At 47.1% G+C, this 26,101-nt stretch overlaps 2 protein-coding genes across 5 annotated transcripts in view, besides 2 other annotated features; one reads left to right on the top strand and one right to left on the bottom strand.

Annotated features, from left to right (window-relative positions):
• MORN4 (MORN repeat containing 4) lies at positions 1-19,602 on the top strand. 3 transcript variants are annotated; one of them, NM_001098831.2, is made up of 5 exons: positions 1-152; positions 14,474-14,570; positions 16,835-16,949; positions 17,370-17,479; positions 17,746-19,602. In NM_001098831.2, the coding sequence occupies exons 2-5, from the start codon at positions 14,504-14,506 to the stop codon at positions 17,892-17,894; spliced, it is 441 nt and encodes a 146-aa protein (NP_001092301.1). In that variant the 5' UTR covers positions 1-152; positions 14,474-14,503; the 3' UTR covers positions 17,895-19,602. The 3 variants fall into 3 exon arrangements, with proteins under 3 accessions (NP_001092301.1, XP_011537553.1, NP_849154.1); XM_011539251.4 differs by lacking the exon at positions 1-152 and adding an exon at positions 195-419; NM_178832.4 differs by lacking the exon at positions 1-152 and adding an exon at positions 657-810.
• Positions 304-393: an enhancer, noted in NCBI's record as "active region_3854". NCBI's record gives its function as "activates an Ori minimal core promoter by ATAC-STARR-seq in GM12878 lymphoblastoid cells {active_cell/tissue: GM12878}" and the evidence as "EXISTENCE:reporter gene assay evidence [ECO:0000049][PMID:35858748]".
• Positions 21,355-26,101, bottom strand: part of HOGA1 (4-hydroxy-2-oxoglutarate aldolase 1) — a 28,414-nt gene continuing 23,667 nt past the window's right edge. For both annotated transcript variants that reach the window (NM_138413.4, NM_001134670.2), the window contains one exon: positions 21,355-22,647. In NM_138413.4, coding sequence (NP_612422.2) covers positions 22,498-22,647 — 150 coding nt within the window. In that variant the 3' untranslated portion in view covers positions 21,355-22,497. The remainder of the gene's footprint in view (positions 22,648-26,101) is intronic.
• Positions 21,612-21,831: an enhancer, noted in NCBI's record as "active region_3853". NCBI's record gives its function as "activates an Ori minimal core promoter by ATAC-STARR-seq in GM12878 lymphoblastoid cells {active_cell/tissue: GM12878}" and the evidence as "EXISTENCE:reporter gene assay evidence [ECO:0000049][PMID:35858748]".

Genomic DNA, 26,101 nt, shown 5'->3' with positions numbered 1-26,101 from the left:
TGGGTAATTTTTTTCTTCTGTAGATACGGAGTCTCCCTGCGTTGCCCAGGCTGATCTAGAACTCTTGGGCTCAAGCCTCCCGCACTCCTGAGCTCAAGCCGCGGCCTCCCGAAGTGCTGGGATTACAGATGTGAGCCACTGCGCCTGGCCAGGTACTATATTTTAAACAAAAAGGATCTAGATAATGACAAGGACAGCACAAATTCCTATAATGAATGCAAAAGTGTCTTGATATCACAATGTCTAGCACAGAGTTATTGGAGGCTATCCTGCCTAGCGCGTTACAATTTACAAAGCTGCCTCTCTGAAGCTGGATTTAGGATCTGCCTTAAACTCCGCGGCGGGGCCCTTGACAGCAGTGGGGACTGGAGCAAGATCAGAGCCGCTCGCGTTGATGGTCACTGTTGCTTCGGGCGCAGGTTTGGTTTTCTTTGGGGTTGCCATTTCAACTAGACGGCCTCTGGGTAGGCCAGATCTGGATCCTCTGTCTTTATCTGCGTTGCAGAGGTGGGACCACCCCTCTTTCACATAGTCAGCCCGGGTTCGCAAACACTCGGCCCCGCACAAAGATGGCGTGGAGCCGGGCTGGGCCAATGCGGAGTGGCGTTGCTCCCGGTTGCCTAGGTAACAGCCAATGGGCAGCGGGAATTGTACCCAGTGCGGTCGCCCAGGATGGCGGCGTCAAGTGGGGCAATCGCTGGTGGAGGTGGCGGAGAGCAAGGTGGCAGCCGGGAGCCCATCAGAGGAAAAGTCCGAGGCGCTGGAACCCTGCGTCCAGGCGTGACGGTCATCCCGAAAGGCCGGCCCCAGGTTGGCTGGAGGCGCAGGAGGGAGGGGGCCGGGAAAGAGTGTGATCGGTCAGGTGGGCACTGAGGAACGGAGCACGAGATGACCCGGCTCGGGGGCGCGGCTCCACCTCGGATACGCTGACCTGAGGGCGGTTGCCTGTGGGGGACCCAAACCTGAACCCTTTAGTCTCCACCGCGGGGGTCGAGGCCCGGGAGAGCTGACTGGACTGGGGTTAGCGAGCAGAGGGTGGAGGGTTGCATCAGGGGAATTGGCAGACCTGTGTGAGCGTTAGACCCTGCCGGGCGGGAGAGCGGGCCCGGATAGCAGGAAGGAACGCGCCTGGAAGGTGAAAATGGGGTGCGAGAAGGTGTTGCCTTGTTGTGGTCTAGGGCTTTGTTTTCCCTGAGCCCGCCTTTATCTCACTGGTGGAGAGAACTCCCACATATGGAAGCCTGGGGAATGGGATGCTTCATTTAGTTGATGGGTGGTATCCCTGCATTCTAGCATCTCTGAACTGCTTAGGTACCAGCAGGAATAACTGCTATATCGGAGTCCAGCCCTGGCATTCCCTTTCCCGTGAAATAGGATAGTATTCTGGCAGTATTACTCCCTAGTCCCAATCACCCCCAGGTCATCATCGCCTTTAAATAAAAAAAAAAAAAAATCTTTTTGGCGCCAGTATTTTCTTCCCACTTTCTTCAATCTAACCATCCCACAGTCTTCCCTAAACGAACCCTTCATATAGCAACGATACATTTCTTTACTTTTCACATGAGGAAAGAGGAGGTTAGACTTATAATGAAAAACAGTTATTTCGAGCTCCTTTTAAAACACTTAAAAAAAAATATTTAGGCCGGGCGCGGTGGCTCACGCCTGTAATCCCAACACTTTGGGAGGCCGAGGCGGGTGGATCACGAAGTCAGGAGTTCAAAACTAGCTTGGCCAAGATGGTGAAACCTCGTCTCTACTAAAAATACAAAAATTAGCCAAGCATGGTGGCACGTGCCTGTAATCCCAACTACCCAGGAGGCTGAGGCAGGAGAATTGCTTGAACCTGGGAGGCGGCGGTTGCAGTGAGCCAAGATCCTGCCACTGCACTCCAGCATGGGGGACAGAGCAAGACTCCGTCTCAAAAAAAAAAAAAAAAAAAAAAAAGGGGAGTATTATTTGACTTTTTGTTCTAGGTTCCTAACAAGGCTAATCTTTGTTCATCAAAGCCTTCATTTTCTTCTCTTTAGGATTCTAAAAGCTTATGAACTGCTTTCTTTATTACTGAAATAATTTGACAAGACTATTGTACCCTGGGAAGGGTGGTTCTGGGGGGACATGTGGGTAGTTAGGGTGGCTGCCTCCACCCAGTATTCTCTAACTGGATCTCCCCCACCGCCCCAACCTTTTGTTTTGTTTTGCTTTTCTTTTCTTTTTTTTGAGACAAGGTCTGGCTCTGTTGCCCAGGCTGGAGTACAGGTGTGGTGCAGTCACTGCTCACCCCGGCAGCCTCAAATTGTGGGCTCAAGCAATCCTCCTACCTCAGCCTCCTGAGTAGCTGGGACTACAGGCATGCACCACCACACCCAGCAAATTTTTGTATTGTTTTGTAGAGATGAGGTCTCACTACGTTTCCCAGCTTGGTATTGAACTCCTGGGCTCAAGCGATCCTCTTGCTTCAGCCTCCCAACGTGCTGGGATTACAGGAGTGAGCCATCATGCCTGGCCCTTTTTCCTCTTTATGTCAGTTTTTTTTTTTTTAATCCTCTTAAATTGGACACAGTTTACTGTGAATACAAAAATGTTGTTTAATACGTTGATTTCTTAAAATTAGAAAACGATAAAAAGAACGGAAACAAAAATTCTCGTTATTGCCTCAGAGTTCTGTTTGGAAATAAGAAAATAATAATAATTAAAAAGAAATGTCTGGGACAAAAGAAAATGAAGATACCAGGAATATGGTATATAGTGCAGACTAATAGTGTGTTGGTTTACAGGGACAGAATAGTAATTTTCTTTTATGTAAATGTTTGGACTGATCCTTTGCAACCCATCTATCAGGAGTGCAGAAAGGGTGAGTGTCTGTTTAGAAGTGTGAATCATCTTGGTTTGTGACTGGATTCCATGGGTGTATCTGTAGCCTAAACTCCTGAGCCATATATTCTCTTTAAAAATATGATTTGGATAACTGATAGAAATACTGATTTGCATCCCTTATTAAAGTATTGGGCCAGACATGGTGGCTCCCACCTGTAATCCTAGCACTTTGGAAGGCTGAAGCAGGCAGATCACTTGATCCCAGGAGTTCAAGACCAGCATGGGCAACGTGGTAAAACCCTGTCTCTACCAAAAAATGCAAAAATTAGCTGGGTGTCGTGGCATGCTCCTGTAGTCCCAGCTACTCAGGAGGCTAAGGTGGGAGGATGGCTTGGGCCCAGGAGGCAGAGGTTGCAGTGGCTGAGATGACGCCACTGCACTCCAGCTTGGATGACAGAGCCAGACTGCCTCAAAAAAAAAAAAGTATTGGGCTTTCAGTCTTCATCGGCACTGACTATACTTTGTTAAACTAGGTTTGTCTCAATGACCATGGTTACTGGTGAAATTCCTTTTTAGGTCAGTAGCTGTAAAGCTATTCATTAGCATGGTTAATTATAAAAGTCATAAAATCCAGACACTGTCCCAAATAGTGACAATATCAACTATTTGGGCACATGTGACAGTTTCTAGCCAAATGTATTCAACCATGGCCTGAGACTCATGGATTCTACACACATTCCCTTTCATTAGCACTTCTGACTGTGGTCTTGGCAATGGACATCATTTTGGCAAGCATTTGCTGAAGGGAATTTGCTATATGTGCCTAAGTCAAAATGGAATGGAAGTTTGTAGTATGTACTGTTGAAAACCAATGGGAGAGGATGGTGGGAGGGTTAGGTTGAAACATGGTATTCCAGTTATTATTGCTGTATAACAAAGTACCCCAGAATTTAGCAGCTTAAAACACCCATACTGTGGCCAGGCGCGGTGGCTCATGCCTGTAATCCCAGCACTTTGGGAGGTTGAGGAGGGCGGATCATGAGATCAGGAGATCAAGACCATCCTGGCTAACACAGTGAAACCTCATCTCTACTAAAAATACAAAAAATTAGCCGGGGCCGGGCACAGTGGCTCATGCCTGTAATCCCAGCACTTCGGGAGGCTGAGGCAGGCGGATCACAAGGTCAGGAGATCGAGACCATCCTGGCTAACATGGTGAAACCCCGTCTCCACTAAAAATACAAAAAAAAATTAGCTGGGCATGGTGGCGGGCGCCTGTAGTCCCAGCTACTGGGGAGGCTGAGGCAGGAGAATGGCGAGAACCTGGGAGGCAGAGCTTGCAGTAAGCTGAGATCGTGCCACTGAACTCCAGCCTGGGAGACAGCAAGACTCCGTCTCAAAAAAAAAAAAAAAAAAATTAGCTGGGCGTGGTGGCGAGCACCTGTAGTCCCAGCTACTCAGGAAGCTAAGGCAGGAGAATTGCTTGAACCCGGGAGGCGGAGCTTGCAGTGAGCCGAGATCACACCACTGTACTCCACCCAGCGTGACAAAGCGAGACTCTGTCTCAAAAAACAAAACAAACAAACAAAAAAAAAACACCCATATGATGCTCATGGATTCTGTGGGTGAGGGAATTTGGACCTGGCACCATGGGGAGGCCTCTCTCTGCTCCCTGATATGGGATGGAATGCAGGCTCAATGGCTGAGGGCTGGAATCATCTGAAGGCTCCTTCACTGATGCCTGGTACGTGGGATAGGATGATTCAAAGGTAAGGGCAGCCAACTGGAACACCAATATATGGCTTTTCTGTGTGGCTTGGCTTTCAGTGTTAGCCTCTGTGTAGTCAGGCTTTTTATGTGGTGGCTCGGGTCTCCAAGTGTGAGTGTATCAGTGACAAGATGGAAGTTGCATCACCTTTTATGATCTAACCTCAGAACACACCACCATTTTCTTTTGAGACAGAGTTTCACTCTTGTTGCCCAGGCTGGAGTGCAATGGCGCGATCTTGGCTCACTTCAACCTCCGCCTCCTGGGTTAAGCAATTCTCCTGCCTCAGCCTCCCAAGTAGCTGGGATTACAGGCATGGGCCACCACACCCAGCTAATTTTGTATTTTTAGTAGAGATGGGGTTTCTCCATGTTGGTCAGGCTGGTCTTGAACTTCCGACCTCAGGTGATCCGTCCGCCTCGGCCTCCCAAAATGCTAGGATTACAGGCATGAGCCACCACGCCCGGCCCACACCATCATTTTCATTGTGTTCTTTTGGTCCAAGCAGTCACAAGCCTACTCAGATTCAAGGGAGGGGAGGTAGATTTCACCTTTTAATGGATCAATGGCCAGATCAAATTGTAGACAAACATGTAAGACAGAAGATACTGTTGCAAACATCTTGGAAATACAGTCCGCCACATTTGGTAATAAGAAGGTAACCTTTTCAGTTTCATTGGCTTCCTTAAAATATTTAGGGTATAATCCCCAAGAGCTAACAGCATACTAAAAAAGTGGTTAGGGGCTGGGCGTGGTGGCTCATGCCTATAATCCCAGCACTTTGGGAGTCCAAGGCAGGCAGATCACATGAGGCCAGAAGTTTGAGACCAGCCTGGCCAACATAGTGAAACCCCATCTCTACTAAAAATATGAAAATTAGCTGGCCGTGCTGGCACGCCTGTAATCCCAGCTACTCAGGAGGCTGAGGCACGAGAATCTCTTGAGCCTGGGAGGCGGAGGTTGCAGTGAGCCAAGATCATGCCATTAGACTTCAGCCTGTGTGACACAGTGAGACTGTGTCTCAAAAAAAAAAAAAGAAAGAAAAAAAGTGGTTAGGTGTACCACTTGAAAACTAGTACTTTGTCCGTAAATAACCCTCAAACTGGAGAAATGTTCCCTTCTTTCAGCAATCTTATACTGTTCCTTCTGGAACAAGGTAGAATGCCACTCTTTGGAAGTTTCACGTAGCCTTGAGAAAAAGTAAATAAATACAAGGCAGTACTTTCCCTGAGTCCCTGTGTAGTCAATATGACTCCTCAAATCCCACTGCAATAACTCCTTCCAAATTTTGAGTGAAAACAAGTTGGTTAACTGCTGCCAGACATCTAAAGGAAATGCTCTTATAATCTTTTTGTATAAATAGTGATTTTGTGTTTAGGTTTTGGAATGGTTGTTTAATTATAAGATTTAGTGGAAGATACAGCCCTTCAGATTCTAACTGATGTGTTTTGAAGGAATGAAACTTCAACCATAAGCTGACTTTTAGTGCTGTAACTTAGTTCTGGGAAGAGCTGAGGATTGCCTGATCAAAATGCCCGTCTGTACTGGAAAGCGTTTTCTTCTGCTATTCTGATGGAAAACTACTTCTCATGCTCTCATTAATGTTATATTTGCAATGGAGTCATGTTGGCCTCTACCCCAGCACACTCTGATGCTGGGCTGGTGATAAGAGGCTTGTGAGCCTGAAATTGGATGCTGACCTTGTGGGACATTGATAGGACAGAGATGACATGGCAAGTACCAGCATCACGTCTCAGAAAATAGCTCCCAGAGGTTTGGAGGGAGTTTACTACAAGAAGATAATGGTCCTTGCCTCGGATATCTTCTGTGTGAGAGATACTGGAAATGGAATGCTTGACTGATAACTGAAGAAGGGAGAAAGTCCTATGGGAGTGGCCCCCAAATATCTCTAGAAGAGTCTCCACAAGGTTGCCCTTCATTTAGGCGAGAAATGAATCTTTTCTCTTATTTGGGTGAGAGCACAGGGATTCTTATAACTCGTCTGTCCTCATGGCTGGGACAGAGCCAGGGCGTAGAAGATGTCATTGAACCCTGCTCTGGTCAGGCCTAGCTGTTTTCACATTAGACCATTTCTGGGCTTTTGGTGTCTGTATCAAAAATCATTATGTTCTGGCTGGGCGCGGTAGCTCACGCCTGTAATCTAGCACTTTGGGAGGCCGAGGTGGGCAGATCACATGAGGCCAGGAGTTCAAGACCAGCCTGGCCAACATGGTGAAACCCTGTCTCTGCTAAAAATACAAAAAGTAGCTAGGCGTGGTGGCACACACCTGTAATGCCAGCTACTCAGGAGGCTGAAGCACGAGAATTGCTTGAACCCAGGAGACGAAGGTTGCAGTGAGCTGAGATCGAGCCACTGCACTTCCACCTGGGTGACAGAGTGAGAGTGTCTCAAAAAACAAAAAACAAAAAAAAAAAGGTGTTCAGGTCCCTCTGCTGAAGCTACTCAGCAAAGTCACCAGCACCAGTCTCCATTAAACAAACAAACAAACAAAAATCAGGCCGGGCACAGTGACTCATGCCTGTAATCCCAGCACTTTGGGAGGCCAAGGCGGGAGGATCACCTGAGGTCAGGAGTTCAAGACCAGCCTGGCCAACATGGTAAAACCCTGTCTCTACTGAAAATACAAAATTAGCTGGGCGTGGTGGCAGGGGCCTGTAATCCCAGCTACTTGGGAGGCTGGGGCAAGAGAATCGCTTGAACCTGGGAGGCAGAGGTTACAGTGAGCTGAGACTGCACCATTGCACTCCAGCCTGGGCCACAGGAATGAAACTCTGTCTAAAAAAAAAAAAAAAAAAAAATCTGGGCACAGTGGCTCATGCCTGTAATCCCAGCACTTTGGAAGGCTGAGATGGGTGGCTCACCTGAGGTCAGGAGTTCGAGACCAGCCTGACCAACATGGTGAAGCCCTGTCTCTACTAAAAATACAAAAATTAGCCAGCCATGGTGACGGTCACCTGAAATCCCAGCTATTCGAGAGGCTGAGGCAGGAGAATTACTTGAACTCGGGAGGTGGAGGTTGCAGTGAGCCGACATTGCACCACTGCACTCCAGTCTGGGCCACAGAGCAAGACTCCGTTTCAAGAAAAAAAAAAAAAGAGAGAGAACAAGCATCAGAACATATTATGATTATGATTATGATTATGATTATGATTATGATTATTATTATTATTATTTTTGAGTCAGAGTCTCGCTCTGTCACCCAGGCTGGAGACCAGTGGCATGATCTTGGCTCACTGCAACCTCCACCTCCCAGATTCAAGTGATTCTCCTGTCTCAGCCTCTCAAGTAGCTGGGACTACAGGCATGTGCCACCACGCCTGGCTAATTTTTGTGTTTTTAGTAAAGACAGGGCTTCACCATGTTGGCCAGGCTGGTCTCGAACTCCTGACCTCAGGTGATCCATCTTAGCCTCCCAAAGTGCTGGGATTACAGGCGTGAGCCACTGTGCCCAGCCCGCTTGTTCTCTTTAAAAAAAAAAAAAAAAAAGGCATGAGGCTGGGTGTGGTGGCTCATGCTTATAATCCTAGCACTTTCGGAGGCCAAGGCCAGAGATTGCTTGAGGCTAGGAGTTTGAGATTAGCCTGGGCAACATAGTGGGACACGGTCTCTACAAAAAAGTTAGTTGGGCATGGTGGTGTGTGCCTATAGTCCTAGCTACTTGGGAGGCTGGGGCAGAAGGGTTGCTTGAGCCCACAAGTTCAGGGTTGCAGTGAGTTATGATCAAGCGATTGCACACCAGCATGGGCAACAGAGCGACACACTGTCTCCTTAAAAAACAAAAAATCGTTATGACATGAGGCCAAAATAAAAATATCCTGTAGGATGTTGATAAAGAGTGGATGGGTGGCAACTATAGTTTGTTTTTCCTCTACTTAGTATTCAGCTCTTTAGTCAAAATTGCTGAGATTTTCTTTTTCAAAGTGTTGTTTGAATTACATTGGTAGCAGTTTTTACTGAGGAAAGACCTAGAGAAGTTTTCATTACAGTAAGTATATGTGTGAGTTTAAGTGTAAAACTTTGAAAGAGGAAAGAAACTAACATTTAGTGGACAGGCCCTAGCAGTGTTCTAGGTACTTACGTGTGTGTCATTTTCTTTCTTTTATTTTTCTTTTCTGTCACCCACTGACTCTCAGATATTTAATTTAATCCACCTGCCAACTATGTGAAATACATATCTTATCTCCACTTTACAGATGAGGAGACTGAGATTTAGAGATACTTAAATACCTTGCCCATAATTATACAGTGAACTCATATTTGAACTCAAGTCCTCCTGTGCTCAGAGTCTACAACACCACCATATTATCCTGGGAGGCCAGATAGGATAGTATGGTATAAGTTAGCAAGTTACTGTAAGAACTTGTGCCAGCAAGGCCAGCTGTCAGAGCTCTGATTCTAACTTTCACGTGTTAGTTTCCACATGTATGACCTTAGTTAATTTACTTATCCTCTCTGCACCTTAGTTTCCTCATCCCTAAAGTGGAAATAATAATAATACCCACCCCAAAAAGTTGTTGTGAGATGAAATTAGATAATATATTTTAAAAACACTGATGCTCATGCCGTGTGCGGTGACTCACGCCTGTATTCTTAGCACTTTGGGAGGCCGCGGCAGGTGGATCACCTGAGGTCAGGATCACCTGAGGTCACCTGACCAACATGGTGAAACCCCATCTCTACTGAAAATACAAAATTAGCCAGGCGTGGTGGCGCATGCCTGTAATCCCAGCTACTTGGGAGGCTGAGGCGGAGGTTGGAGTGAGCAAAGATCGCGCCATTGCACTCCAGCCTGGGGAAGAATAACAGTGAAACTCCGTCTCAAAAACAAAACAAAACAAAAAACACTGATGCTCACACCAGTAATCCCAGCTACTTGGGAAGCTGATGAGGAAGAATCACTTGAGGCCAGGAGTTCGGGACCAGTCTAGGCACCATAGCGATACCCATCTCAACAAAAAATTTGAAAAGTAGCTGGGTGTGTTGGCACACACCTCTAGTCCCAGCTACTGGAGAGGATGAAGCGGGAGGATCACTTTAGCCCAGAAGTTTGAGACTGCAGTGAGCTCTAATCACAATCACACTACTGCATTCCAGGCTGGGTAACTGAGTGAGACCCCATCTCTTAAAACAAAACAAATAAACAACACTGATGGAACACAGTAAGAGGTCAGTAAATGTTAGCTTCTGTTATAAAGGTATTTCAGACAGCTTCTCTGGGGTTAGTGCAATTGATTATTAGAGAGGGTTGTGCCACCTGAATTGAAATATAAATAATCTAGCACTGTCCACCATGACAATGTGGAGAAAGCAAATTTAACATATGGGTTGTTTTAGTTGAACATTTAAAGCATCACTTTTGCATAAAATATACCAGACCCCTTTTGTGCTATGAAACTATGGAACCCACTCTTTGGAACTCCATCTTGACTGGATGAGGTTTTGGCTTCCCTGGGACTTGAAGGAAAAGGAAGCTAGCTGTTGGCGCCAGGCCCCCGAGATTTAAGAATCCCATCTTGCGGCCAGGCACGGTGGCTCATGCCTGTAATCCCAGCACTTTGGGAGGCCAAGGCGGGCGGATCACGAGGTCAGGAGATTGAGACCATCCTGGCTAACACGGTGAAACTCCATCTCTACTAAAAAATACAAAAAGTTAGTGGGGCGTCGTGGTGGGCACCTGTAGTCCCAGCTACTCGGGAGGCTGAGGCAGGAGAATGGCATGAACCCGGGAGGCAGAGCTTGCAGTCAGCCGAGATCATGCCACTGCACTCCAGCCTGGGCAACAGAGTGAGACTCTGTCTCAAAAAAAGAAAAAAAAAAAAAAAGAATCCCGTCTTGTTTTGAGCTGGGAGCAGTGGCATGCACCTGTAGTTCCAGCTACTCAGAAGTCTAAGAGGGGATTGGAGGATCTCTTGAACCTAGGAGTTCAAGTCCAGCCTGGGTAACATAATGAGACCCTGTCTCTAAAAGAAAAAAGAATTCTTTCCTGTTTCTCCACCAGGTCTGGCCCCAGTACTCTGAGGAGAATGTGTCCTTGTCCTGTTGGAACTCAGTCAGATGCCTGAGGGTCAGACTCTAGGTTACTTATTAATCAGAGGGGACTTTTTTTTTGGAGGGGGACAGGGTCTCGCTCTGTCACCCAGGCTGTAGTGGCACTGTCATGACTTACTGCAGCCTCAGACTCCTGGGCTCAAGCAATTGTCCCTGCTCAGCCTCCCAAAGTGCTGGAATTACAGGCATGAGCCACCATGCTTGGTTGATAGAGGACTTTTCAATAGTGATTTATAGTTCAGAGAACTTTTCACACACAGTATTTCCATTTATTGTAGCAGTAGGCCACAAGCTTTGAAGTAAGGATCTAATGATGTGCTTATTAAAACTGCAGGTTCCCAGGCTCTGACTACAGAATCTGATTCAGTAAGTCTGAGTTTGGGCCTAGGAATCTGCATTGTCAAAATTACTGGAGAAAACATTGTATTGCTTAGATCTGGAAAAGATGAGGAGGTAGCTAGATGTGGTAGTGTGCGCCTGTAGTCCCAGCTACTCAGGAGACTGAGGTGACGGGATGCCTTGAATCCAGGAGTTTGAGGTTACAGTGAGCTATGATCGTGCCACCGTGCTCTAGCCTGGGTGACAGAGCAAGACCCTGTCTCTAAAAAATAAATAAATAAATAAATAAATAAATAAATAAATAAATGAAAGATGAAGGGATGAATGAAGAGACCTAGGGAATTAAAAAAGAAATAGGGCTTGTATTTTTTAGTCTATCAAATGACGTACTATTTGCCTCTGTTTATATTTAATGATTTTGGGGGGTATCTTAATTCCCTCTTCTTCTTCTTCCGTTTTTTTTTTTTTTTTTGAGACAGGGTCTCCCTCTGTCGCCCAGGCTGGAGTGTCGTGGCGTGATCTTGGCTCACTGCACTTCTGCCTCCTGGGTTCAAGCGATCCTTCCACCTCAGCCTCCCAAGTAGCTGGGACTACAGGAACGCACCACCACACCCGGCTAATTTTTGGATTTTTTGTAATTTTGGTACAGATGGGGTTTCACCATATTGCCCAGGCTGGTCTCAAACTCCTGAGCTCAAGTGGTCCGCAAGCCTCAGCCTCCCAAAGTGCTGGGATTGTAGGTTTGAGCCACCGTGCAGTTCCCTTCTTATAGAATATCCTTCAATACATCCTTTCACCACTAATGTGAAGCCATATCTAGCCAGTCCCCAAATGTTACTGATTGTTTTCCTATGATGTATCCCCCCAGTTGTTCCTTCTGCTCCCATTATACTGTGATCTCCCAGACTCATGCCTGAACGTATCAGTTAGCTTTTTCTGGGTAATAACACACCACCAGAAAACACAGTGGCTTGAAACAATAACCATTTATTTATCCTGTGAGTCTGTGGTCGCTAGTTTGGGGCCGGGCTCAGAAGGGCAGTTCTTCTAGTCTTGCCTGAGCAATTTGTTCATCTGTGGCCAGCTGGGACAGGGTCTCACCATCCAGTAGACTAGATTGGACTCATTTACATGGGGGCAGAACAGGTCCAAGTGTAGCAAGAGGGCAAGCCCAGTGCACAGGTGCTTTGCAGACCTCTGCTAGATCACCTTTGCGAACATTCCATTATCTAGAACAAGTCACACAGCCAACCCAGGTCCAGCAGGTGGAGGAATAAATAAACTCTGCCTCTTTTTTTTTTTAGACAGAGCCTCACTCTGTCGCCCAGGCTGGAATGCAGTGGTGCGATCTTGGCTTACTGCAACCTCTGCCTCCCGAGTTCAAGCAGTTCTTCTGCATCAGTCTCCCGAGTAGCTGGGATTACAGGCACCCGCCACCACGCCCTGCTAATGTTTTGTATCTTTAGTAGAGACAGGATTTCTCCATGCTGGCCATTCTGGTTCAGGTGATCCACCCACTCCGCCTCCCAGAGTGCTGGGATTACAGGCGTGAGCCACCGCACCCGGCCAACTCTGCCTCTTAATGGGAGGATCTGCCTTGTCACATTGTAGGGTCATGAACGGAGGGAGAATAACTCTGCCCATTTTTACAATTTGCTTCATTATCATATTTCCCTTCCTTGCAAGCTTTTCTGACTATGGACTTGCTGCTCCAATTCATCCCACTTCGTGCTACCACATTCATTTTCCTTACACACTGCCTTCATATTACATCCTGGTTCACAAACCCGCAGAGGTCGCCTCTTTTCCTCCCTCATATGCTGTAAACTCTTATGCCCAGCTTTCAAAGGTCTCTTTAAGTTAGCCTGAGCTAAAAGCAGAGGCTGTGCTGTACAGGAAAAAAGGACTAGCATAGTCAGGGGAGGCTGTCAACAAACTTTATTACCTCTCTGGGCTTCTATTTCTCCTATAAAATGAGAGGTTGGGCTAAATCCATGAGATTCTTTTCAGATTTATTTATTTATTTATTTATTTATTTATTTCTCGAGACAGAGTCTTGCTCTGTCACCCAGGCTGGAGTGCAGTGGTGTGATCTCAGCTCACTGCAACCTCTGCCTCCTGGGTTCAAGCAATTCTCCTGCCTCAGCCTCCTGAGTAGCTGGGATTACAGGTGCCCGCCACCACACCCGGCTAATTTTTGTATTTTTAGTAGAGATGGGGTTTTACCATGTTGGCCAAGCTGGTCTCGAACTCCTGACCTCGTGATCCGCCCACCTCGGCCTCACAAAGTTCTGGGATTACAGGCATGAGCTACCACGCCCGGCCTATTTTTTGTTTTTTAATTTTACATTTTTGACATGAGGTCTTGCTATGTTGCCCAGGCTGGTCTTGAACTCCTGGGCTCAAGTGATCCTCCCACCTCGGCCTCCCAAAGTGCTGGGATTACAGGTGTGAGTCACTGCACCAGGCCTCTCTTCAAATTTAAGATTGTGGCTACATGTACCTACACAGGCTTATTTCCTAATACTCCCCAAATAAACCCTCAACTGTAATGAGACCAGGCTTCTTATTTTGCCATGGAACATCTCGTGTTCACATTGCCCTTAGAGTGTTCCTTGCCCTTTGAGTGTTGGTTCCCCATATTTTCTTTTTTTTTTCTTTTTTTTTTTTTTTTTTTGAGACAGAGTCTTGCTCCGTCACCCAGGCTGGAGTAACAGTGGTGTGATCTCAGCTCACTACAACCTCCGCCTCCCGGGTTTAAGTGATTCTCCCGCCTCAGCCTCCCAAGTAGCTAGGATTACAGGCTCCTGCCACCACGCCCAGCTAATTTTTGTATTTTTAGTAGAGACGGGGTCTCACCATGTTGGCCAGGCTGGTCTCAAACAACTGACCTCAGGTCATCCCACCCACCTCGGCCTCCCAAAGTGTTGGGATTACAGGCGTGAGCCACTGCCCCTGGCCTGTTCCCTATGTTTTCTGATTCTGGAATTGCTCTTTGCCTTCTCCACTGCTTGTCTGCTTGTTTTAAATTCTGGCCATCTCATGTCTTTGTTAATCTCTGCCATCCAAGTTGGCACTTAATCACATTATCTCTGGCATAATTCAGTGTTTAAATTGTTAGTCTTATTAACTAGATTATAAACTCGTCAAGGGAAGATACTGTATTTTATACATCGACTGAGCACATAGTAGGTATCAAATAAATATTTGTAGATTAATATTTGTAGATTTCCATCCCAGGTCATAGAAAATAGGAACTGGCTGAAAACTTTTAAGATAAGCAGGAGGATAAGAGCACTTGGGCAGAGGTGGAGATGATGGTGCTGGTGGTGGTTGGAGATAGGGGTATTTTGGTTAAATGCACCTAAGGCAGTGTACACTTACCAGGCTGGTGGCCTTTAGAATGTATCTATAAAATTGCCTTGCAGTCCTTTCCTCCCGCCATTCCATGACACTGGTTCTCCTTTGCTTATTTCCTACAGTTTCATCCTTTTATCCTGTAATCTGTCACCATGACCCTGACAAAAGGTTCCTTCACCTACTCCAGTGGGGAGGAATATCGTGGCGAGTGGAAGGAGGGTGAGAAGGACCCCTGGGGAGTATCCATGATGAACACTTCATTTGCTGGAGGACAAATACATCAGGATATATAGCCAACTTTATGGATCTTCATTTTCAACTCCAGGATTTAATTCCATATAGTGCCTGCCATTCCTTTATTCCATTTTAGGATTAAATAAAGGAATTTGAAAATGCTATTGTTAATTCAACCTCCAGGAATGAGTTATATCTTTCTTTTTTTTGCTTCTGTTTTTGTTTTGTTTTGTTTTGTTTTTTGAGATGAGGTCTCGCTCACTATGTTGCCTAGGCTGGAGTGCAGTGGTGCAATCTCAGCTCACTGCAACCTCTGCCCCCTGGGTTCAAGCGATTCTCGTGCCTCAGCCTCCCAAGTAGCTGGGATTACAGGCGCCTGCCACCACATCTGGCTAATTTTTGTATTTTTAGTAGAGACGGGGTTTCACCATGTTGGCCAGGCTGGTCTCGAACTCCTGACCTCAGGTGATCTGCCCACCTCGGCCTCCCCAAGTGCTGGGATTACAGGCATCAGCCACCATGCCCGGCCCATGCCAGCCTCTCTTCTAAGCATTTTGTATTTATCATCTTATTTAATCCTCATGACAACCTTATGAGGTAGGCACATACTATTATTATTCCCATTTAACAGATGGGGAAATTGAGGCAAGGAGAAGCTAAGTAACTTACTCAAGATCACAGAACTCTAAGTGGTAGAACAAGAAGGCAAACACAGCAGGCAGCCTGACTCGGTGTCCTCAAAATCTAACTACATTGCCTCTCTGAGGAAAAAAAAAAAAAAAAACAACCAGTATCCATTTAGCACCTTAAAGCTACTGGGCAAATCTAACAGCCTGATTAGCAGCACTGGTTTCAGCTTCATTATAACAACAGGGCTGTGCTTACTCTCTGAACTGACCAGAAAACAGAGCAAGATGTTGCAGGAGTAATCATGCCTTTCAAACAGAATTCAAGGGAGTTCTTGTGGTGGATACAGCCCACCCAGCAGAGCCTCAGGAAGTCTCTCCTCTAACAGTCCGCATTAAAGGGGACACCAGGTATTTGAAAGCCAGGAAGAAATGCCTGGGATTGGAGGAGCCAAGGTCACATCACACCTGTACAATTTCTCTCAAGGCTCAAGAATTTAGGGCAGGCACAGTGGCTCATGCCTGTAATCCCAACACTTTGTAATCCCAGCTACTGGGGAGGCTGAGGGAGGAGAATCATTTAAAACCAGGAGGCGGAGGTTACAGTGAGCCAAGATCGCACCACTGTGCTCCAGCCTGGGCGACAGAGTGAGACTCTGTCTCAAAAAAAAAAAAAAAAAAAAAAAAGAAGAGAGGCTGGCACATAGTAAAGGCACTATAAATACACATGTTAGCAATTGTTATTTATTTATTTATTTATTTATTTTGAGATGGAGTTTTGCTCTTGTTGCCCGAGCTGGAGTGCAATGGCATGATCTCGGCCCACTGCAACCTCCACCTCCCAGGTTCAAGCGATTCTCCTGCCTCAGCCTCCTGAGTAGCTGGGTTACAGGAGCGCGCCACCACCATGCCCGGCTAATTTTTTGTAGTTTTAGTAGAAACGGGGTTTCACCATGTTAGCCAGGCTGATCTTGAACTCTTGACCTCAGGTGATCTGCCCGCCTCCTCGGCCTCCCAAAGTGCTGGGATTACAGGCGTGAGTCACTGCGCCCAGCCAGTTGTTTTTTTGTTTGTTTGTTTGTTTTTTGAGACGGAGTCTCACTCTGTCGACAGGCTGGAGTGCAGTGGCGCGATCTCAGCTCACTGAAACCTCTGCCTCCCGGGTTCAAGTGATTCTCCTGCCTCAGCCTCCCGAGTAGCTGGGACCACAGGCAGGCGCCACTACACCCAGCTAATTTTTGTATTTTTAGTAGAGATGGGGTTTCACCATGTTGGCCAGGCTGGTCTCGATCTCTTGACCTCGTGATCCACCCTCAGCCTCCCAAAATGCTGGGATTACAGGTGTAAGCTACCGCGCCTGGTCAGCTGTTGTTATTTTTAAGTGCTCTCTTATTCATACTTGGGTAGACCTGCTTTAATCTGTAGTGATAAGATGGGAAGGCCCCAGGAGCCAGGTTTTCCCAGTGCCTGACTCTGGCTAATAATCCTCTGCCCTGCTAATGTCACTGCTTCTCTTGTTTTCTTTGTGGGTAGGGTGATGGCAGGTAAGGGATGCTACAAGAGTAAGAAGGGACCCTGAAGCTGCCTCCTTCCAACCTGACACCTATCCTTCTCTTTGTTCAGGCCGCAGGCATGGTTTTGGTCAACTGATGTTTGCAGATGGTGGCACCTACCTGGGTCATTTTGAGAATGGGCTCTTTAATGGCTTTGGGGTATTGACCTTCTCAGATGGTTCAAGGTGGGTATGAGGTCATTCCTTTCTTAGCCTTAAATAAGGGAGGGTCTGACAGAAAAATGGGACTCTGGTAAATATCTGGTCAATCCTGACCTTGTCTCACTCCCTGCAGAACACAGATGAGTAATAAGTAGTTCTTTTATTAGCTATTTTTTAAGTGGACCTAAAATTTGAAATGTCAACCAAGTGAGTGACTTTCCACCCCACTCCCATTCACATCCTATCTTCTTTCCTTGAGATCAGGGCTTCATGTCATATATACTCTCTGCTCCTTGGGAATAGGTGGGGTAGGTGGAGCTATGTGACTGGTAGAATCGGCTTGCTCCTTAGCATCATTAAATAACAGAGATCAGCAGCTGCTCGACTCCGTTCATCTGGACAGCTAACTTTCCACTGAAGGCTAACTTCTTGGTGTTTCTGCAGGTATGAGGGGGAGTTTGCCCAGGGCAAGTTTAATGGCGTCGGAGTCTTCATTCGATATGACAACATGACCTTTGAGGGGGAATTTAAAAATGGCAGAGTAGATGGTTTTGGTAAGTTGCAGCCCAGCAGGATGGCTGACTTAGGTGGGCATAATATGGGTGGAAATATACCTGTTTAGTTTTAATCCTGCGGGTGTCCAGCAATCCATAGTGGCCGTCCCTGACACCTATCCATTGAACTCATCAATAGAGTACTCCTGAGTAGAGCTGGGAGTTTTTCTCTTCTTTGGCCTGGACATATCAAGGCCAAAGATATGTCTCATCTTTGAGACATTAATGCCATTGTCACTCCCATATTTTCTCTGCCCTCCTCAAAGGCCTGCTGACTTTCCCTGATGGTTCTCATGGAATCCCCCGCAATGAAGGTCTCTTTGAGAACAACAAGCTGCTGCGACGTGAGAAGTGTTCTGCCATTGTTCAGCGGGCCCAGAGCGCCTCCAAGTCAGCCAGAAATCTCACTGCCTGACAGCGCAGTGGGCACCAGCTGATAAGTATTGGGTAAAGCCAGTGCCCCTGTTGTTGATTCGAGGTGAACAAATGAATCAGAGCTGAGATGAGTTGACAATGACAGTGGAGCAGAGGCCTTGTATGTGCCCTGTCACCTGCCATTCCAGAACTGGACCACAGAAAAGTGCTGAGGATGCTGGCCAGCAGACCCTGCAGCAGTCATTGGTGGTTCTGTCTTTCCCTAACCCTTATGTGCTGGAGGACAGAGGAGCCACCTCTTCTCACTGGTTGATACTCTGTTCCTAAGACCTCAGGTTACCCAGTGTAGCCTGCTGTGACCCTTCTGCTTCATTTTCTGCCAAGTGATACAGAACCTTCGTTCTGCTGCTTTGGGGACAGGTGATCCTAGCCCCAGCTTAGGGCCAGTGCTCTGTGCCACTCTGGAGAAATAGGGAAAAGATAGGGGTGGCTCAGTACAGCAGCCCTGTGAAAGTCAAGGCCAGAGCTTTTCTTTTTTAATTTTTTTATTATTATTATTATTATTTTATTTTTTATTTTTGAGATGGAGTTTTACTCTCGCCCAGGCTAGAGTGCAGTGGCATGATCTCAGCTCACTGCAACTTCTGCCTCCCAGGTTCAAGCAATTCCCCTGCCTCAGCTTCCTGAGTAGCTGGGACTACAGGAGCGCGCCACCACACCCAGCTAATTTTTGTATTTTTTTTTAGTAGAGACGGGGTTTCACCATATTGGCCAGGCTGGTCTCAAACTCCTGACCTCGTGATCCACCCGCCTTGGTCTCCCAAAGTGCTGGGATTACAGGCGTGAGCCACCACGCTCAGCCTTTAATTTTATTATTATAAAAAATTGAGCCAGGGTCTTGCTATGTGGCTCAGGCTCATCTCAAAATCCTGGGCTCAAGTGATCCTCCTGCCTGGGCCTGCCAAAGTGCTAGGATTGCAGGTGTGAGCCACTGTGCCTGGCTGGCAGAGCTTTTCCATATGTTACTCCTCATGCTGGTTGGAATCATGGCTGCAGGCTTCCACTTGGTCTGATCAGACTGGTATTCATTCCTGCCTATGTCCCCGTGAAGGATTCGGTAAGAGTGCTATTTCCTCCTCCCTTTAGAAGACAGGCTGTCTTCTTTCATCAACTTAGAGCAGATAATCCCCATGTGTGCCTCTCTCCTTCCTTAGATGGGGAACAGGATCCCTTTTTGGGACAATCAAGAAAAAAACTCATGTAAACAGTAATCTTATTACTTGTATTTGTGACTAACTCCAGGGAAAAGGGTAGAATATTTAGGCCACTTCAGGCACTACCATGGAGTGAACTGAATTCATACGGATGGCTTGGGCTGACACAGTTTCTTCCCAGTGGACCAATAAATCAGACTCACCCGAACCCCTGGGGTTTTGGTAGAATTGGACCTACTCTAGGACTGTGGGGAACTAAAGGAGCATTTGGCTCACTGTAGCTCTTCTATCATGAGCCTTGACCGTCAGGCCGCAATCAGACCTTACTGATGGGATCTCTGCAGTTTATTACGTAGGCCTCCCGTTACCCTGGTACCCAAATACGTCCCCCACCTCTAGCTCCCTAGCCTCACATTGAATGTCTCTTCAACAGCAGATTGTGGTGGAAGTTATAGCCGTGTGCCTCTATTTATTCTCTGAATTGTACTGTAGAAAAAGGTGTTTATAAAGAATAAAGAAATCACCAGAACTGCCTATACCTAGTTTTCCTGACTTTCTGGCCCTGCGTCTTCATGAATATCAACCCATTTGCTGTTTGTAAAAGTTAATCGGGTTAGCCCTTGGAACTGACCCTGCACACTTTATCAAGTCATCTAATTTTCTCAGCCTCTACAGAGGAGGACGTATGAACTTTTTTTTCTTATTTAAATCAGACAATCTCAGGCTGTCCCAACTAGTAGGTAGCACAGCTGGGTGAGATTTGTAACCGAGCCTTTCTGATTCCAGCTCCCTTTACTGGACCTCTCTCACCCTGAGCATCAGAGTACTTAAGTCCTGAGACTAGTTATGGCCACACCTGCTGGGTTACCTCTGGCAGGTCCACTCCTGCCGGAGTTTCCCTTTTTCTGCAACAGGAGAGTGGTGGAACATTGACCCCCACGCTAACCCTTTTACATGCACGTCCTTGTTGGAGGAAGGTACTATTATTATCCCTGTATTACAGATGAGGCTCAGGGAAGTTAAGCAGTTTCTCCAAGGTCCCATAGACACTAAGGGGCAGATCCCAGAACTTAAACCCAGACCTGTTTAAGCCCAGAGGCTGAGCTCTTACCCAGTGCACTACCCTGCCTGCCTAGCCCTAACTTTTCCCCCAAGTCCTAAACTTGATTCTCCTCTGAGCCTTGCTCCTCTGGAAGTTGCCTGTGAGAGGACCCCAGGCACTAAGCCCCAAGCTGTAGTGCCATTCAGAGCCTGGTTTTGGGTTGAAGATTGAGATCTTTTATTTTCTCTCCTTTAGCCTCTGCCCTAAACAAGTATCTATTTACCTCTCTTTTTAACCTTACACTTTCTTTTAAGGAGTAATTTTTTTACAATGTATCTCCATTTTTCTGCCACTAGTCAAATATTACCACTGAAAAAGGTTAAATATTTTGGAGAAAGCATCCTTTTTTGTTGTTGTTGTTGAGATGGAGTTTTGCTCTTGTGGCACAGGCTGGAGTGCCATGACACGATCTCGGCCCATTGCAACCTCCACCTCCCACGTTCAAGCGATTCTTGTGCCTCAGCCTCCTGAGTAGCTGGGATTACAGGCGTGTGCCACCACGCCCGGCTAATTTTTGTATTTTTAGTAGACATGGGGTTTGCCGTGTTGATCAGGCTGGTCTCAAACTCTTGACCTCATGTGATCCTCCTGCCTCCGCCTCCCAAAGTGCTGCCTGGCCCTAAACACTTAGCACTTTAATCAAAAAGGATGCTGAAGGGGTGCAGTGGCTCACGCCTATAATCCCAGCACTTTGGGAGGCCGAGGCAGGAAGATCACCTGAGGTCAGGAGTTCGAGACCAGCCTGACCAACATGGCGAAACGCTGTCTCTACTAAAAATACAAAAATTAGCCGGGCATGGTGGTGAACACCTGTAATTCCAGCTACTCGGGAGGGTGAGGCAGGGGAGTCACTTGAATCTGGGAGGCAGAGGTTGTAGTGAGCCGAGATCGTGCCACTGCACACCAGCCTGAATGACAGAGCAAGACTCTGTCTCAAAAAAATAAAATAAAAGTGCTAAGTGTTTGTTTCTAAATAGCTCACTTGCTCTCTTTTGCCTCTTACCCCTTCCCCAGGTCTCCAGTAAGTGAATGCCTGTTGGCTCAGTATTGCTGGGGACACTCTTCGAGCTGGGAGAAGGCAGACCATCAGAGCTCTTTTGCCTTTAGAAAGGTTCTTGACATCTGGCCAGGAAACCTAAGATCTGCATAGCAATAGAGTGTCCATCTTTATATAGCCACACTAATTTTTTCTGTTAAATTTTATTATAGTAACAAAGTGACTATTTTTAATAATAAAAGCAGAGTGCCTGTAGGCAAGTGGATGGCCCTATCTCAGGCCAAGTCTCCTTAGTGTTTCAGACCTAGGCTGACCAGAATAGTCTTCTAGAATGTAACATTTATCCACCAGGTGTCATTATTTACCAATCTGACAAGCCACTGGGCTGTCTCCGTGCATTCAATGGTTGGAATCAAGGCTACAGACCAGAATAGGAGATGAATGAAAATAGATTTAGAAAAGGGCGTTGTGGCTGGAATGCAGCTTGCAGTGTGGAGGGCAGGGATGGGAGGGTAAAGAGGGCTCTTTGAAAGACCAGTGTCACTTTCCTGATCAAGTTTCTTAAGCTGATACTTCCCTGGAAGGAGTCAGAACTTGGGTTTGTAGGAGTAGCCCTGGCCTCCAGCTGCATTGTGCTAGACTCAGGTTTGAAGCCCCAAATCTAAGTAGTCCCCCCTTTGATAAATTCCCGGCCGGGTGCAGTGGCTCACAGCTGTAATCCCAGCACTTTGGGAGGCCGAGGCAGTTGGATCACCTGAGGTCAGGAGTTCAAGACCAGCCTGGCCAACACGGTGAAACCCCATCTCTGCTAAAAATACAAAAATTAGCTGGGCGTGGTGGCAGGCGCCTGTAATCCCAGCTACTCGGGAGGCTGAGGCAGGAGAATCGCTTGAACCCAGGAGGCGAGATCATGCCATTGCACTCCAGCCTGGGTGACAGAGTGAAACTCTGTCTCAAAAAAAAAAAAAAAGAAAAGAAAATTCCCTTACTGTGCCTACTTGCCCCTCTGCCCTTCCTTTCTGACTTCATGTGCCTCAGGGCGTAGGAAAGCATCCACAGTAGAAAGATAAATTGAGAAATTGCTCCTTCCCAGTCTTCAGACCAGAGACACAGTTTAGGATCCAAAAGGGAGAGGTCAGGGGCCGTTAGAATAGGAGATATGCATGGGCGTGCCTGTGAAAGGCTGCCTGGAGGACCACAGCAGGCAAAGGAGCCTCTATCGGCTCCCCGCTGCCTGCCACCCTCATCCCCCTGTGCTCTCCGCTTCAGGCTGCAAGTGCAAGGCAGGAGGCTGAGATGGGCTCAGGCCAGCCATGGACCCTGCCTGCCCTCAGAGCCAGCCGTTGCTGGTGAAATCCATGCGCAGTGCCTCCTCCTCAGCGGGGCTCAGCTCCTGCAAGGGGGCGCGGCAGGGGCCTCCATAGTAGCCAAACCAGTCCATGATTTTCTTCAGCCCTGGGATCCCAAAGCGCCGGGTCACCTGCAAAGCAGGGCCTGTTAGAAGAGACTGAGAAATTTGCTGAACACCCATATCTGGAACTCGGAGATCTGTCACTTTCAGAACATTGAAGTCCTACCCTCTTCCCCCAGGAAAGTAACTGCCAACTCTATGGCACCCAGGGTACATTGGGAATCCAGATTTAGAGACCAGAGAGCAGGTCTGTAATAGCAAAATACAAAAACTTCAGATTGGGGAAGAAGAGTGCCTCCTTTGGTTTTAGGAGAAAAATCCACTCCAACAGAGAGGAGAGTGGTATTTGGTCCTCAAGCTGGGGTGGGAGAAGACAGCAAGGCTGCAGGTCTAGGCACTAGAGCATCAGCAGTCTGCAGCCCAGCTCCCTGAAACCTGACGCAGGTCACACCAGACCTGGGAAGTCAGGAAGGGGAAGGATCTGTGAGAGTCTCAGGCACAGCCCAGACCTCTACTCCCCTTGCATCTGGCTGCCCTCACCTCCCCATAGCTCCTCCTGACCCTAACACTAAATGGTCTCCCAGGAAAAGCAAAGCATCATTTCCCAAGGAAGTTTTGTTGTATAAACTGTATGTCATTTACTTATTATCTCTGAGTAAGTTCTCCTGTCTAAAAAAGGAAGGGGCTGGACAACATGATCTCTAAAGGCTTTTCCCTGATAATGGGGGACCTAAAGCTATTGTTATAATTTATTCATTTATTTTTATTTATTTATTTTTTTGAGACAGTCTTGCTCTGTCACCCAGGCTGGAGTGCAGTGTCCTGATCTCAGCTCATTGCAATCTCTGCCTCCTGGGTTCAAGTGATTCTCCTGCCTCAGCCTCCTGAGTAGCTGAGATTACAGGCACCTGCCACCACACCAAGCTCGTTTTATTTTATTTTATTTTTGTATTTTTAGTAGAGACAGGGCTTCGCCATGTTGGCCAGGCTGGTCTCAAACTCCTGACCTCAAGTGATCTGCCCGCCTCGGCCTCCCAAAGTGCTAGGATTACAGGCATGAGCCACTGCACCCGTAATAATTTATTTATTTTTATTTTATGTTTATGTTTTTGAGACAGGGTCTCACTGTGCCACTCAGGCTAGAGTGCAGTGGTATGATCATGGCTCACTGTAGCCTAGACCTCCTGGGCTCAATCGATTCTCCCACCTCAGCCTCCACAGCACCTTGGACTTCAGGTGCATGACAGCATGCCTGGCTAATTTTTGCATTTTTTGTAGAGACGAGGTCTTGCTATGTTGCTCAGGCTAGTCACAAACTCCTGAGCTCAAGTGATCTGCCCACCTTGGCCTCCCAAAGTCCTGGGATTACAGGCATGAGCCACGGCGCCTGGCCTATTATAATTTAAAATCGTGTATGGAATATTACAGAATAAATGAAGCATCAAATTTCCTTGCTTTTGGTATAGCAACTGGTTATTTCATGCTGATCAGAAATATTAGATGAATCTTTCACTACCTAAAAACTACAAAAGTAGTCCTTAAGAAAGTTTTATTTGGAGAGAAGCTAAAACCTTAGGAGGATAAAAATAAAAGGTTGTTTGGGATAAAAAGGCCAGGAACCACTGATGAAAGATTGACTAATAACTTTACCACTAGAGTCCCGGAGGCTTTATCAAGCATGGATTTTTTTTCTCGGAATGGGTGGTAAGCCACCCTCCTGCAGGCCTCGCCACCCCCATGATGTTCTAATAGCCTGGCCTTTTTACCCAAAGCCTGAGTAGGTGGGAAAGACCCAGGATACAGGATGGAAATAAGAGGTGCCCAGAGAAAAGCTCACTCCTGCCATGGGTTTCCAAAGATATCTGATGTGGCCCCTCTTCAAACCCTAAGAAGGGGTTGGTGGCAAAGACTGTAGAAAGTCCTAAATATAGCCAGGGGCAGGAGGCAGGCTGGTGGGAAGGTGGAGGAAGGACATTGTGTTTGACCAGGGATGGGCAATAGAGTGACATCAAGCTGTTCTCGGGGTGTCTGAGCCTACAGCCTAGGCAGCAGAAAGGTGTTCCAGGCATTCCTGGGTATGTGCCCAGAGCTGGCACAGGAGAGGACACAGAATGAAGGGTGAGGCAGGATGGGGTAGGGCGGGATGACACGCAGAGATCTGGGATGACAGCTAGGCATCCACTCTTCCCCAGGGGCAGCCCAAGCTGCTTCATCTGTGAAATGAGTGATAACAACACCTACCCCATAGAGACGTCCCAAGGGCCAGATGAGAAAAACACTGCTAATATTAGACCAGTTCCCATGAGCCCTGGAAGCCGCTCCGTTTCCTGTCCCGGTGGCATGCGGGTTCTGGGACCTTCGTTTTCAGAGGTGCACTGGGAGTGGGAGAGCAGAGGCCCCACCCCAGTGGAATGTTCAGTATGTGCAGGACGGCCTGTGCCCAACGGGGCCCTCGTTTCTGCAAGTTCTTATAACCTATTTATAGAAGGTCCCATCTCAGAAGCACCTTCACCTCCAGAGGGACTCAGATTTACCTCCTCAGCTGTCGTTTCTGTAAATCTAAGTTAATCTGCCCCTTTGAGGTAAGGATACAGCTGTGAGGGAGCTCTAGAGCCCACCCATCACTTTACCCAAACAAAATATTGTGGAGTGCCTAGCTCAGCCTGGGACTGCAGCCAGGCCCATGAGGCCCTTACCTTGCATGCAAAACTTAAGGGGAGGCCAAAAATCTCAATCATCAAAATAAGTAATATTTCAATGCAATTTTTTTTTTTTGAAACAGTCCCACTCTGTCGCCCAGGCTGGAGTGCAGTGGTACGATCTCGGCTCACTGCAACTTCCGCCTCCTGAGTTCGAGTGATTTCTCCTGCCTCAGTCTCCTGAGTAGCTGGGATTACAGGTGACCAACACCATGCCTGGCTAATTTTTGTATTTTTAATAGAGAGAGGGTTTCACCATGTTGGCCAGGCTGATCTCGAACTCCTGACCTCAGGCGATCTGCCTGCCTCGGCCTCCCAAAGTGCTGGGATTACAGGCGTGAGCCACCGTGCCCAGCCAAAATAAGTAATATTTCAATGCAATATTTTTTAAAAATCAAAATTAATGCAAAAAATATCCACAATGAATGAAACTTTAAATAAAGACAGGATCCAACAGAGCTGTGCCCCACCATATAGAAGGCTCATGCATAAGTAATCATGTGTGCCCCATGTATTTTTTGGTGTATTTTTTCATTTTTATTTATTGTATTTTTTAAATTTCTTTTTTTGAGACAGGGTCTTGCTCTTTTGTCCAGGCTGGAGTGAAGTGGCATGATCGTAGCTCACTGCAGCCTCGACCTCACGGGCTCAAGCAATCTCCCTGCCTCAGCCTCTGAGTAGCTGGGGCTAGAGTTGCACACCCTCATACCTGGCTAATTTTCATTTATTTTTACTAAAGACAAAATCTCACTCTATTGCCCAGGCTGGGCTCAAACTCCTGAGCTCAAATGATCTTCCTGCCTCAGCCTCCCAAATTGCTGGGA

The sequence above is a fragment of the Homo sapiens genome, chromosome 10 (genome assembly GCF_000001405.40).
Source record: "Homo sapiens chromosome 10, GRCh38.p14 Primary Assembly".
In the NCBI taxonomy this organism is placed as follows: Eukaryota; Metazoa; Chordata; class Mammalia; order Primates; family Hominidae; genus Homo; species Homo sapiens.
Note: the sequence above shows the minus strand (reverse complement) of the source record. Positions and strands in the feature narration are given on the sequence as shown.